Source organism: Homo sapiens, chromosome 3, assembly GCF_000001405.40.
Source record: "Homo sapiens chromosome 3, GRCh38.p14 Primary Assembly".
Taxonomy (NCBI): Eukaryota; Metazoa; Chordata; class Mammalia; order Primates; family Hominidae; genus Homo; species Homo sapiens.
The window spans coordinates 81920630-81934020 of record NC_000003.12 but is presented as its reverse complement, the minus strand read 5'-3'; the positions used below and the strand labels follow the sequence as shown (position 1 = coordinate 81934020).

General features: G+C 36.8%; 1 long non-coding RNA gene across 1 annotated transcript in view; it reads right to left on the bottom strand.

Annotated features, from left to right (window-relative positions):
* LOC105377179 (uncharacterized) overlaps positions 1-11167 on the bottom strand; it is a 30411-nt gene extending 19244 nt beyond the window's left edge. The window contains exon 1 of the long non-coding RNA XR_940999.2: positions 11092-11167. This is a non-coding gene — a long non-coding RNA (uncharacterized LOC105377179). The remainder of the gene's footprint in view (positions 1-11091) is intronic.
* Positions 11168-13391: the final 2224 nt, after the last annotated feature.

Genomic DNA, 13391 nt, shown 5'->3' with positions numbered 1-13391 from the left:
TTCCACCAAAGAGAAGTAATGATTGAAAATGTTCTGTCACTAGAGGATCCTCTGGAATATAAAAATGCATGGAAAAAGCAAGTAGGTTACACATTTGAGAGCACATTTGAAAAATAAAGCTTTGTAGTGTATTCATTAGCAAACATCAGGAATCCCTAAAACAGTATGTGATTATTCAAACACTTTTTTCTTAAGCAATATTCCCAGGAGAACAGTGGTGTGGCAAATAAATGTATAATCAATTAGAAATGTCTTCAACTACATGAGTGCACATTATTGCATGTCTTGTTATACCAAGGACATTCCAGCCCTGTGCAAGCACGGTAGCTGATTTTACAAGATACATGGCGAAATGTTACTCTGTATGAGTGAACAAGATGGAGTGCTGGGGGCAGATGGGCGACAGGGGACTAAAACTTGCTTGTACAATAGTAGATCTTCATGGTACAAGTCTAGTAAAATTTGGGAAAAGGAGAGTGACATGACTGAAGCATATTTGTCTCTGGTCTTTTTCCCTTAGATTTCCAAGGTCAAAGCAGATGATGGTATTTGAAAATATTATGATTATCAGAAGTAGTATTCACACACACACACACACACACACACACACACACACACACAGAAAGAACATTTGGTTTGAAAAGTTTAAATTGTGGGCTTATAGATTCTGAAAAACTGAAATCCCTTTAACAACGTGAGATTTCAAGGGTTATTTTGTGAGGGTGCTTTTAAATGTCTTTTTTCGTTAACTAACCTTTTAATGATCTTCCTATTTATGGTGTTTCCCTTTGCTAGACTGCAGCTTTGCCCTTGCTCTAATCAACCCTAATGTAAGCACTCTAGTTAAAATGTTTTTTAAAATTCTATAAATTAAAGTATAAAATGGCTTCTTCCTGTCTTAACCTACAGTTCTTCCCCACACCTGTCTTCTGGCCAAACCAATCCTCTTGCCTCATCTCATTTGGCCTCCAAAGTTACTGTTCCCAATTCAAAAGACTTCATTAAATGTGATTTGGAATGCTGTACCAATGTCTTCTTTAAGGGAAAATATACTAAAGAAGTAGATATAAATAGATGTATAAAATCGTATTGGAGAATCTCAGAAGTGCTGCACTCAAGAAAAGCACGGCGATTGACAAGCAATTTAAGCTGGAGTGTGAAAGGATGCAGAAATAACAAGATTTGCATGAAAAATATTGAGATCATGAGAACATCAAATTTAAACGAAAAACTCATGTGCCTCATGATTTAATCATAAGGGCTGACATTACTGTTATAACTTTCAATATCCTTGGCTTTTGAAAATAGTTCTATAATGAGGGTGGAGCATGTCTATCTATAAGAAAACTACTGTTATTTTATCCAGTCAGCTCATTACTATGAGTAACAGAGTTATAAGAATTGTAAGTCTTAATGTATATGTTGGGGAGCCCAATCATTAGCTATGGCTGAGCCCTTATTTTTAGGCAGGAACTCAAAGCAAAAGAGGAAAATGAAGCCAGGTTAAGAACCAATCCATTTTTTAATCAATTATGATCAGCCAACCCACAAAAAAGCAGAAAGAAGTTCAGGCTGATGTTAATATCTTTGCATTTATCTTGTGAAAAATTTTAATGACGGTCCCAGAGCAAGGATCGATATTCTGCCCATACATACAGGAGTCACTTAAAGGGCTCCACATTGACCTGGTATGTTTCATTCCTATGAACCAGGCAGCTGACATAGAGTAGGTCTTATTTTTCTTTCTCTTTTATTTTTCATGGCATAATAGGTGGTCTGAAAATCTAGTTTCACTTGTTATCTCAGAGGAGAAATGCACTTCCGACTTCTGTTTATACTTTCATATCATACTGTATTGCTGTGAACCTAGATGGCACTTCCAGTGGGACGCCATGTTTAGCCCATGAATGAGAAGACTGTCACAATCAAAAGTGCTTCAGGCACAAACAGATTTGAAACAATCTTCCTACCGACAGGAAGAGAAAAGGCTGGTTCTGAAGATCATTAAAGGTTCTATTGATGTGGTTTTGGGGGCACACATTTAGATTTTCAAATGTGTTTTACATTTGGAACCATTTTACTCGCATTAAAGCTCAGCTGCTTTCCCTGAGAACTCTCCTTCTTGTCATCATTTGCAGAAGCTTTCATAGAGAACTTACTGTTCCAACTGGGAAGGAGGTGGGAGAGGTGGGGAACGCAAAGCAGGCGATTGAACTAGCTCTCTTGACTCAGAGATGCCAGGATCGCCTGCTCCACAACACATTCTGCAGGATACGAAGCCACAGAGATGAAAGGGGCCACCGGCAGTGTCCCAAAAAAAAAAAAAAAAAAAAAAACTTTTCAGCATTTAGATGTACTAACTCCCTGATTTTAAAAGTAAAAAGCCTTTCTATCAATATAAATTATATTGAAAGTAGTTAGGCAGCAAAGCTGCCATGTCATTTCTGGGTGTGTGTGTGTGTGTGTTCATTTGCGTTCATTTGTTCTGGTGACATTCTGTTGACCATTTCATCATAGGGAAATCTTGTTATGCAACATTTTATTGTAGGGACATTTCTCCATACAGCATCTTATCACTGACATATTATCATCAGCATTGTCAGGGACATTTAATCATGCAATACTCCACCATTGACATTTCATCAAAACAGCAGGCCATGGTAGTAATCGCTTATTGCTGACAGTTAGTATACTAAACTCCTTAATTACGTGATTACACATGCAATTAAGTTTTCCAGGTCCTGATGTAAAACCATCCTTGTGAAAGGAGAGAAGACACCTCTTACATCTCCATGCTCAGAAACAATCCTGTGAGTTGCACTTAACAAAACTATTATATATAAAATTGCACATCCTCAAAATATCTTCTAAGCCCATTTGAAAAGAATCTTCTATAGCAAGGGTAGGAAAACTACTGTCCATAGACCAAATCTACTCTGATGGCTCTATTTGTTTTGTTTTGTTTTTAAAGTTTTATTGGAACACAGCCATGCCCATTTTATGTTATCTATAGCTGCTTTTGTGCTACAGCTACAGAGTTGAGGAGCTGAAATAGAGTCCTTCTGACACACAAAGCCTAAAATATCTATTATCTGGCCCTATACAGAAAAAATTCGTTAATGCCTGCCCTAAAGGACATTTATTTAAAATGTAGATCTGTGGGCTCAACTCCATGTTACAGAAAAAGAGTATCTGAGCCTGGTGCGGTGGCTCACGCGTGTAATCCCAGCACTTTGGGAGGCCAAGGTGGGCGGATCACGAGGTCAGGAGATGGAGACCATCCTAGCCAACACGGTGAAACCCCGTCTCTACTAAAAATACAAAAAATTAGCTGGGCGTGGTGGCGGGCGCCTGTAGTCCCAGCTACTCGGAAGGCTGAGGCAGGAGAATAGCGTGAACCAGGGAGGTGGAGCTTGCAGTGAGCCGAGATCGGGCCACTGCACTCCAAGCTGGGAGTCAGAGCCAGACTCCATCTCAAAAAAAAAAAAAAAAAGGATCTGTAAATAGATCCTGGTTAGCTGCATTTCAACAAGTGTTGCACGAAATTTTTAACAGAGAACTGCAAGTTGTAACTGGGAAGGAGGCAAGAGAAGTGGAGAATGCAAAACTCAAATGTCCTACCCTGTCTTCACAAAAAAATAGTAGCAATTTGAGAAAATTTATGGCCTATCTGATTTATTCTCATGCTTAACTGTCTTCAATCTCTTTTTACAAAAGAAAGTCAGGATAGGGGACTATTCATTACCTGACCAACTAATTAGTCCTATAGCCTTGACAAAGTTATTGACTAAACAATATGCAAATGAGAGTTTAGTCTATTTTTAGCTTTGAAAAATCTTTATTAATTTTTAAATTTAAAAATTATGACTTATTCCTATAAAAATCCAAACAAAAACTGATGAAAGGAATTATGGAAAACTCTCCTTTCCTTAAATCTCCCATTTCCATTTCCTAAGGGATACTTTAAAGTGCATCCTTGCAGAATCCTTTTTCTTTTAATTTCCAAGAATTTCCTATGACTATTTCACTTTATAAGGTCTTCCTACACTTTCCATATTTACATTTTCCCCAAATGCTAGATGAATTGTGTATCAAAACTCATTAAGCAGCAATGCTGGCTCTGAGCCAGCTTTTGCTGGTCCATAGCTAGTGCCTCAGGAAGAAATGATTATGGGCTGAACTGGTAATCAAGAACATTGTGATATAAGTATTTATCCACAATTTCTGACTTTGTTGCTTCCTTTTTTATAATCTTTTATCCATCTGGAAATTACTTGCTTAAAACCTAAAGATTTTCTGCATCTGCAGGTATATTTTCCTTTTTCTCTTTCCCTTTCCATTTATCTCCATTCTTTCTCTTTTTTTGATTTGATTGTTTTTTAACTATCGATGATTCATACATTTTCCCCCAAGCATTGTCATCTCTTCCAGAAGTCTTTTTCCATGATTCTTTCAACAAATAGACAGTGCTGTGCCACCTCTTCTGCAAACATTTTTTGAAAAGGTATTTATTTCTGCCACAGGCAGTTACAGTAGTTTTAGTAGCTTCTTATTGCATAGCAAGGCACCTGCCATCATTTTTTGTCTGCTTTTCATTTTATTCACCCTCTTGAAATAAAAGATATTAACATAGCCATCCTTCCCATCTATTCAAGTCTAATAAACCATAGACTACTCGTCATAATTTATTGCTTTTAACTCTATATTTTTCTTCAGAAACTTTTCCCTTTCTTTTCTATGTTACCTTTTCCTTCCCCATTTTTTGAATAATAAGTATTTCTATCCTTTCACACTAGGTAATGAAACTTTTAAACGCAGTCATTATATTGCTCTGCTCAACCACCTTTTAAATACAAAAATATTTGCTTATGAAATAAATCTGCATTGGTGAAACCTAGTTCTTCTTTATCAACTGACAAATATTAGCTTTCTATTGTCAATTCACCTTCAGCATGCAGAAATTTTACAAAATACATGTAAAGGGAAATATGCATCAGAAACTGCTTAAATCATTCTTGCTCTGCTATCAAAAGCTTCTCTGTTCAACTTTTCTTTCTTTGTCTTCCCTCCTATAATGTGCATTAAAAATTGTCACCAGCATACTTTATTATAGCACACTATTTCTTGCTCTTTTTTCCTCCAATTCCTATAATTTATAATTCTGGAGTGTTTTTAAAATGGAAAGGACAGAAGGATAGGAAGACTAGCAGTGAAACTGTCCATAAAGGGTAAGAGGGGAAAATAAGAATAAAATAAGGAGCAAGAGGGGATAGTTTAAGAGAAATGTGTAAAACTACCAACCGAGGTCATGAGAGTATTATTAGCTCTTTTGATAAGACCTGGGACAGAAGAGAAATGTGGGTAAACTGAATGAATGGTATAATGTAAAGTTGCCAGAAAACACTATATATGATTGCTATAGTCAATCATAAGCTGAAAGCCTGACCATTGTTATGTTTATTTCCTGAATAAAATTGCATTATGATTAATAAGCACCATTAGAAATCTTCATAGCTCTCTCTAGCATATATCCTGTGGATGAAAATGCTAATGAGAAGGTTTGTGTCCTTTAATTACATGTATAAGTGAAGAACAAGGACAAGAGGGCTCTCTCTTTTGCCTGTCATTTGCCTTCTCTTATTTCCTCGATTTGAGCAGAAGTGGTCCGCTGTGCCTCAGCTGTACTTGGTACAGTTCTCAAGTATATAACTTTTCTCACTACACAGCAGCTGTTTTTGTACTTGTCTGTCAGCCTTACTAGACTGAAAGACAGATTAGGAATTGATGCTAATTTATCGTTTCATCCCCCAAGCACCTAGCTTTATTTTCTCAGGGAATGTTTGATATATGGATGAAGGAAAGCATGAATGAGAGAATGAGAATAGATAACAAAAGGATCATTCTCTTGTTTTTTTATTATGCTAAGAAATAATCACAATATAATTAATGTTTCAAGTTCCACTATCTTTGTGCTCTTTATTCCAGATTTTTATGTGACAGCAAACCAAAGAAAATGCTCAAAAGAAGCATGAGAGAATGGATCTTCTTAAGAGAATAACTGCAAGGAGTAGGACTCTGGTTCACTAAAATAATAATAACAATATAACAGCTGCTATGGTCTGAATGTTTAAGTCCCTTCGAAATCCATATGTTGAAGTCTAAACCCCCAAAGTGAAGGTATTAGTTCACAGGGCTTTGGGGCAGTAAATTATAAGAGTGGTGCCCTCGTGAATGGGATTAGGGTTCTTATGAAAGAGGCCTGAGAGAATCTCCTGGCTTCTTCTACTATGTGAGGACACAGCAATCAGGTGTTTTATACGAACCAGAAAAGTGGGCCCTCGCCAGACACCAAATCTGCCACCATTTTGATCGTGGACTTCCCAGCCTCCAGTACTATGAGAATTAAATCTCTGTTGCTTATGAACTACCCAGTAGATGATATTTTTTCATAGCAGCCCCAATGAACTGAAACAATAGCTAAAATACATTGAATGTTTAGCATATGCTAGATACCATTTTAACACCCTATGAAGTAGATCATCTTATTTATCCCATTTTGCCAAAGAGGAAACTGAAGCAACATGTGGTAAATTGCCCAGGAACAAAACTAGCCAATGAAGTTACTGAATAGCCTGCCAGCTACAAGTCAACAGCTGGCTGTTCCTGAATAGTCAGCCAGTCAATCATTATCAGATAATGTCAGAAGATTCTCATGACACTATGTCCCTTGACACTTATAACACTTTGTAATTGTACATTTAGTTTTAAAACATGAAACTAATGTGTGCCTCTATTCCTAGTCTACACTTCCTCAAAGTATGGGCATATCTGATTTTACTTACCTAACAGAGAATCTAACAAGTGATAGATACTCACTAGTTCTTGAATGAATAACAAGGCTATCTGCTACTCAGAAACCAGCATACCATCAACATGGTATAAGATAAGAGTAAATTGTCCTGGAATTCTAACCTTCTAAACACTCATTGAGCATGAAGAATCCACAGAGCATAATGGCGATGAGTTTTGAGGCTTAGAAGACATACACCACACTTCCAGTCTACATGTTATCAGCAGCATGGAAAGCCTCAAACATGAGCACCCTCGCTGGGGCACACTATTTTCCTCTCAAATCTTGTAGAAGGACATCTCAGTTTCCCCAGCATTTTTCTTTTCTTCTACCATTGAAAAGACATCATCTCTTTACTACTAGCCCATTTTCTCCTGAAGCCCCACTTAATCTCATCTCATTCTCTTCTTCAGAAGGAGACCTCCTTTAACATATTTGGAAACTGAAAATGTCTCAGCACTAGCTTCCACTTAAAATAAGAGTCTTCCCTACATAGCTGACAAGCTTCTTTGTACAGAAAAAGTAGTTATGTCCTCTTGTCCCATGACGGAAGTTTTGCCTGTCTTCTTTCACCTCCGGTGGATCCTAGGGTCATACCCTGGCTGTTTCCTAAACAAGTTGGGACATTTCTCTGCTCATCTCACTTTCCCTCATTTCTACATAGGCTATTGCGTTCTTGAAACCCCTTGTGCCAAATGTTGACTGCATTTTACTTTCTCCAGGATCACTAACATCACATAGCACTTGTCAATCAAGTCATTTAGCTCCCACTTAAAAGTGAGAACATGTGGTATTTGGTTTTCTATTTCTGCATTAGTTTGCTAAGGATAATGGCCTCCAGCTCCAACTATGTTCCCACAAAAGCTATGATCTCACTGTTTTTTATGGCTGCATAGTATTCCATGAAGCTCCCTTATTTTATAATTGTTAAAACCAACACACAGGAAATTAGTAAGAACCAGGACTGGAAACACAACCACTGTTTTCTGTTCTAGTAATCTTTCCATTCACTATCCCTGTCTCTAATAACCTAGCAGTCAACTTCTTAGGAGAAAATTCATTGGCAGCCAATATGAGCAAAAACTAGACACAAAATAAAGAATCTGGGAAAAGAGAAATGCCTAAGGATGCAGGTACCTGAACATGGACAAGGGCAAGGGAAATTAGACACATTTAACTCTATTCAATTAATCACTTTTGGACATTTCAGGACCTGCTTATCCAAAATTGTGCCTCACAACTTTGTCAACTAATGGCTACTGCTAGAAAGTATTTTTTCTTTAAATCTGACTCTGACTTCAAGCAATGTAAATCTATTTTCCTGATAATATGGAGAATAATTATTTACTATCCTCCTTAATTTATCCTTTCAAATATATTATTAAATTCTTATAAATTATGTTCTTATTATTCTTATTCCTGATGGTATTATGATAATTTGTTTATCCTTGCCTTAGAAGATACAGAGTTTTTTTGCTTTCTCTATTTCCTCCATGATTTTCCAACTTGTTTCATCAAGTGGAGAGACCAGGCTAGAAGATGTTGTAATATGATCTCATATATACTGAGAAGAGCTGGTTTACCTCCTTATTTGTCTTTGTCTTACTAAGAGTCATGCAACATGCTAGAAAATGTTTGTTCTAGTGTGTTATTCATTTATCATCAATTTTTGTCCAGTGGGTCTTTTTTTTTCCTTTGGTCATATTTATGCATTGGTCATAACACTTTGTTTTGTGTCACTTTTATTGTCCTTCATCTTTTGGTTTATCCCTTAATTTTGCCTTTATAATTTTAATTCCTACATATGTTACAGTGAAAACAAGTTTTTGACACTAAATCTGAGTCCTATGCCCACCACCACCAGCCCCACGAACCTTCACACCTTCTGGACACAGACTGGGCTAGAACGGAATTTTTTGTACTTCTGTCTTTTTTTGTTTTTTTGTTTTTTTTTTTTTCAGACGGGGTCTGTCTCTATCACCCAGACTGGAGTGCAGTACATGATCTCGGCTCACTGCAACCTCTGCCTCCTGGGTTCAAGCGATTATCCTGCCTCAGCCTCCTGAGTAGCTGGGATTACAGTAACCCACCACCATGCCCAGCTAATGTTTTGTATTTTTAGTAGAGACGGGGTTTCACCATACTGGCCAGGCTGGTCTCGAACTCCTGACTTCAGGTAATCCACCCGCCTCAGCCTCCCAAAGTGCTGGGATTACAGGCATGAGCCACTGTGCCCCGCCTGTACTTCTCTCTTTAATAGGAAAATAAAGACAGGGGAGGAGGAGTAGATGCATTGAAAAATGAAATCTTCCACATATTCATAATAAAAATCCTCAAGTGGTCAAGATAATATTAGAGTTTATGTGGAATTGCTTAATCATCTTTGGAACCAGGCTGAGAGAGCTACAGTTCATGGTTTCCTCTCTATTTCTATTCCTACCTTAGATGATCTCAAGACACATGACATAATCATGATCTTTCCTCTGATATCTCCCAAATTTCTACCTCCATCCTTTTCATCTCCCCCTATTTCCCAACTATACACTTAATTGTCTACTTATCATATCTGTTTAGGTGTCTCATAGGAATCAAAACTAATCTTAATTTTCCACTTGGCTTTGTAAATCTGTGGATTTCCTCATCTCTCTGAGTTTTTATTTTCTTATCTACAAATTGGGGAGGGACTACCTACTTCAAAGAGTTGATATTGCTATGAAATGAGGTCACAATTGTAAAACATCAAGTACTGTGTAGGCATTGGTATGTACTCAGTGACTCTCAATTTCTTTTCTTCCTTCTTATTCTCTCCCATAGCTTTCATTCACTGCCAGATCATTCTGTTTCCCTATCCCTATCTTATGGAGCTGTCTTATTTCCTGGTTCCCTCTTCCCTCATCCCTCACTGACAACCATGTCAGTGCCCCAATAATAGTAATACCACCTGTCCTCCCACTTCCTCACCCATGAAAACCCACCAGCAGCTGTGTGCAAACCAAACAAAAAAAGTAGATAGATAGCAATTGTTTTTTAAAGCATTTTTGGGTTATGTTTATCATTGCTTTTGTATTCTTTTGACTAAAAATACATTTTGCTGTATCTATACCACTGATTGTTATAACTATACTTGAAATTTCAGCACTTTCCAGTTATAGCTGAACAAAACTGCAGAATGCTAGTTTCTACTTGAATGATGAATATGTTAATTACTAAATAACATATTTTGCATATTCTAATACATTTCTTGGCTAATCTGTGACTGGGCTTTTCTACATTACTCTGGGAAATTGAGAATTGGCTATTCTTAAATAAATGTCAAAACTATATTGGAATAAAATGAAATTATTTACCCCTATGTAAGCAACATTCTTGACAAATATATGGATAATGAGGACTAATGATAAACTCCAGCACTGTAACAAAGCAGCTTAAACCCCTTTTAGGGTTTCTTCCAAAAAGAAAGAAAATCCTCACTAAAAATTGAGGGACGTTATATCAACAAAGAAACTCTTTGGACAAGTGGAAATGTTGTCTGCAGCTACGCTTGCCAAGTGAAGAAAAGATAATGCCCAAGACATTCATTTCCAAGCTTGTTGGGTAAAGAATAGATTGCAAATGTGTTTCCAAAAACATTCATTATAAAACAGTCAGGTTTACATTTTTGAATTGTTAGTTACTAAGTCATATAAAAAGTTCATATACTAAAGATTTTTCAGCTTGCTGTGAGCAACATACTGTGTGTCAGTTCACATTTGACACACTAAAATACTTTTAAAAATATTCTGAATTGGCCTTTTAAAAACAATTCAAGCATTCAACTTTATGTATTCACCTCTATTCCTACTTAAATATGAACATGTGGAAAAGAAGTTCACCAGGGGATAGATAATATGCAGCAATTTGAAGCAAAGAAACATGACATCTTGTCTGTTTGACAGAAACCCAAATAATAGACAGCACACAATAGCAAAAACTGATGCTAGAACTGTTTCAGAGGATTATGTCCTGAAAGCGTAAGTAACTCTTTGAATCAATTTCTGAGACTAGATGCAGCAACCGAAGCTTGTGCTTCACATCCAGTAGAGACTAGAGGGAAAAAAATAATAATCATTTTTATACCCTTTCATGAGCCATAATCTCCATAATGGATATATGGGAGTAGGACTTTAAGAGACAAGATGTCTTCCAGACTTGCTTTAAGCATTCTGAGCTTATACTGTCTTTAGCCCCAAGGCTAGTCTTACCAAGAGTGTGGCATCTGCAGTGCTACTTCCTGAGTAGTCAGTATGCATTATTCCCTCACTTGGCTGGATGCTTTATCTTATATATCCACGTGAGGCAACGTAACTAGATAGTGGAGGTAGGAAACTAACAGTTAGTATGCATATATTCTGATTGTACAGAAATTTAGATCCTAATGATATTTGAGCTTAAATAAATGAATAGAATTCATTCATTCATTACATAGATATTATCAAGGAACTTTTATGCTTTGGATTCCTGATCTTCAAAAATCAATGAGATTCACACTCTTCCTACAGCAAAGGTTTATCCAGTGGAGTGTTTATCTCAAAAGATGACACAGCACATTCCTTGTTAGAGGGTATAACTCTCAGGAAGTATTTGTTTATCATCTAGCAGAAATCTTCTTTCCCATTATTTTTATCGATCCTAATATTACTCTTTAGTGAAGACTATAAGAAGTTTACTTCCTCTATTTGAAACCATTTCAAGGATTTGGGAATTATAAGTTTTTTTTTTAATTTTATTTTTTTCTGTTTTCATTGTTTAACACTTAACTTTCCCAATTTGCAGTAATTATTTTCATTTTGAAATGCTATTCAAGCCCCTCACCAACCCTGATCACACCTCTGGATGCTTTCTGATTTTTCAGTATCCTTTTGGCAGGTTATCCAAATGTGAAAGCAGCATTCCAAGTATATTCTAGTGCCAAAGTAGCACCACTATCTTACATTTGGTTGCCACCATTGCATTTCTTCTATGTAAAATAGAGCATTAGCTTTTGAATAGTTTTATTATATTTGGGTTCACACTGTGTCTTTCAACACTAAAAATTCTTGCAAACAAGAATACGGCAGTATTTCCCCAACCCAGAATTTTAAAATGTTTAGCACAGAGTAGTTACGAAATAATGACGAAGAGTAGCTTAAATAAATTAGTGAGTTTTTTTCTCACATAAACAAAAGTTCAGAGATAGTAGTCCAATGCCAGTGCAGTGGTCATTAAGGACTCAGCAGAGCCTTCCACTCTGTCATGCTCAGGTTGCCGTGTTTAGATTATCTGTCTCATCCTTTTGATTATCACCTCATAGCATAACTGCTGCACCTTCAGTATCATGTCCACATCATAGGCAAGAAGGAGGGGCTAAGGGACATGCCAACCTAGTCTATCCATTTTTATCAGGAAAACAAAAACTAACCTGACAGAATTCCACCTACATCTCATTGGTCAGAATTGTGTCACACGGCCAGTCCAATCCTAGCTGGAAGGTAGTCAGGGAAGGAGTCTTGTGTGTCCACCCTAACTACATATACAATATTAAAATTCTGCCAACTACTGTGGCCTACCCAGATCCTCACCTATAAAAAGCATTAAAAGAATTTTTCTTGATATAATGGATTAAGAAAAATAGCAGCTGATATCATCTGGCTCTTCCTAGATTGTATTTTACATTTTATTCTATTTTCTAGGTACTTCTGCCCAGTCATTCTTAGAACTACTAGCTGAGCTCATAAAAAGTATTAACTACTTAGTAAAGCTAAGATTATGTGCTAGGCTTGAAAGAGCTTATAGTTCTTAGGGGGTATAAGAAGCAAGTCTTTTACTTTATATCTCATATTTATGCTTACTTGTAATTGTATTGTTGTATTTATATACAAAGTATTTCCTGAGTAGTCTTCTCAGTTGTGTGCAATAAATAACTTCCCTTTCTCTTATTTGAATAAGCTGTCTTTATTGTATTAAACTGCTCTAATAATATCTGTCTGTCCTCAAGATAGCTAATAATATTATTTGGGAGTTCCCCAGCATTTTTAAAATTTTTTTTCTGGGCTTCAGAAAGCCGTCTGTGCACATCCACAGCCCTCCTCCACATGGTTAGGAATTGTGCCAGGCTCTCTGTTATATATCCAGTTACATCTGCTCCTTCTACACATTTAGGATACCAGGAACACAGATGTTCTTGGCTTCTAGCCATTTCCAGCATTGTTTCCTCTGCAAGTAAATTTTTCATTATACATTTATCAAAGCATGTTACTTCCTGTTGGTCCTCATCCTTAGCACTAGATCAGCCATATTGTAGCAACTGCCCTTTAATTCTGGTTGTCCTCTCCTCTCTTCTAGGCTGTCATGAGTAATCAAAGACCCTCAAACTTCACCTCAAAGAAGAATACAGCTGAGCAGAGGCAACTTTAGTTCTGTAATGAAAGGCTCCAAGAGAAATTACAAAGGTAGTGTGAAACCTAAAATATGAGAAGGAAAAACAGAATAATAAGTGCTGATATTCACCTCAGAACATCAGCTA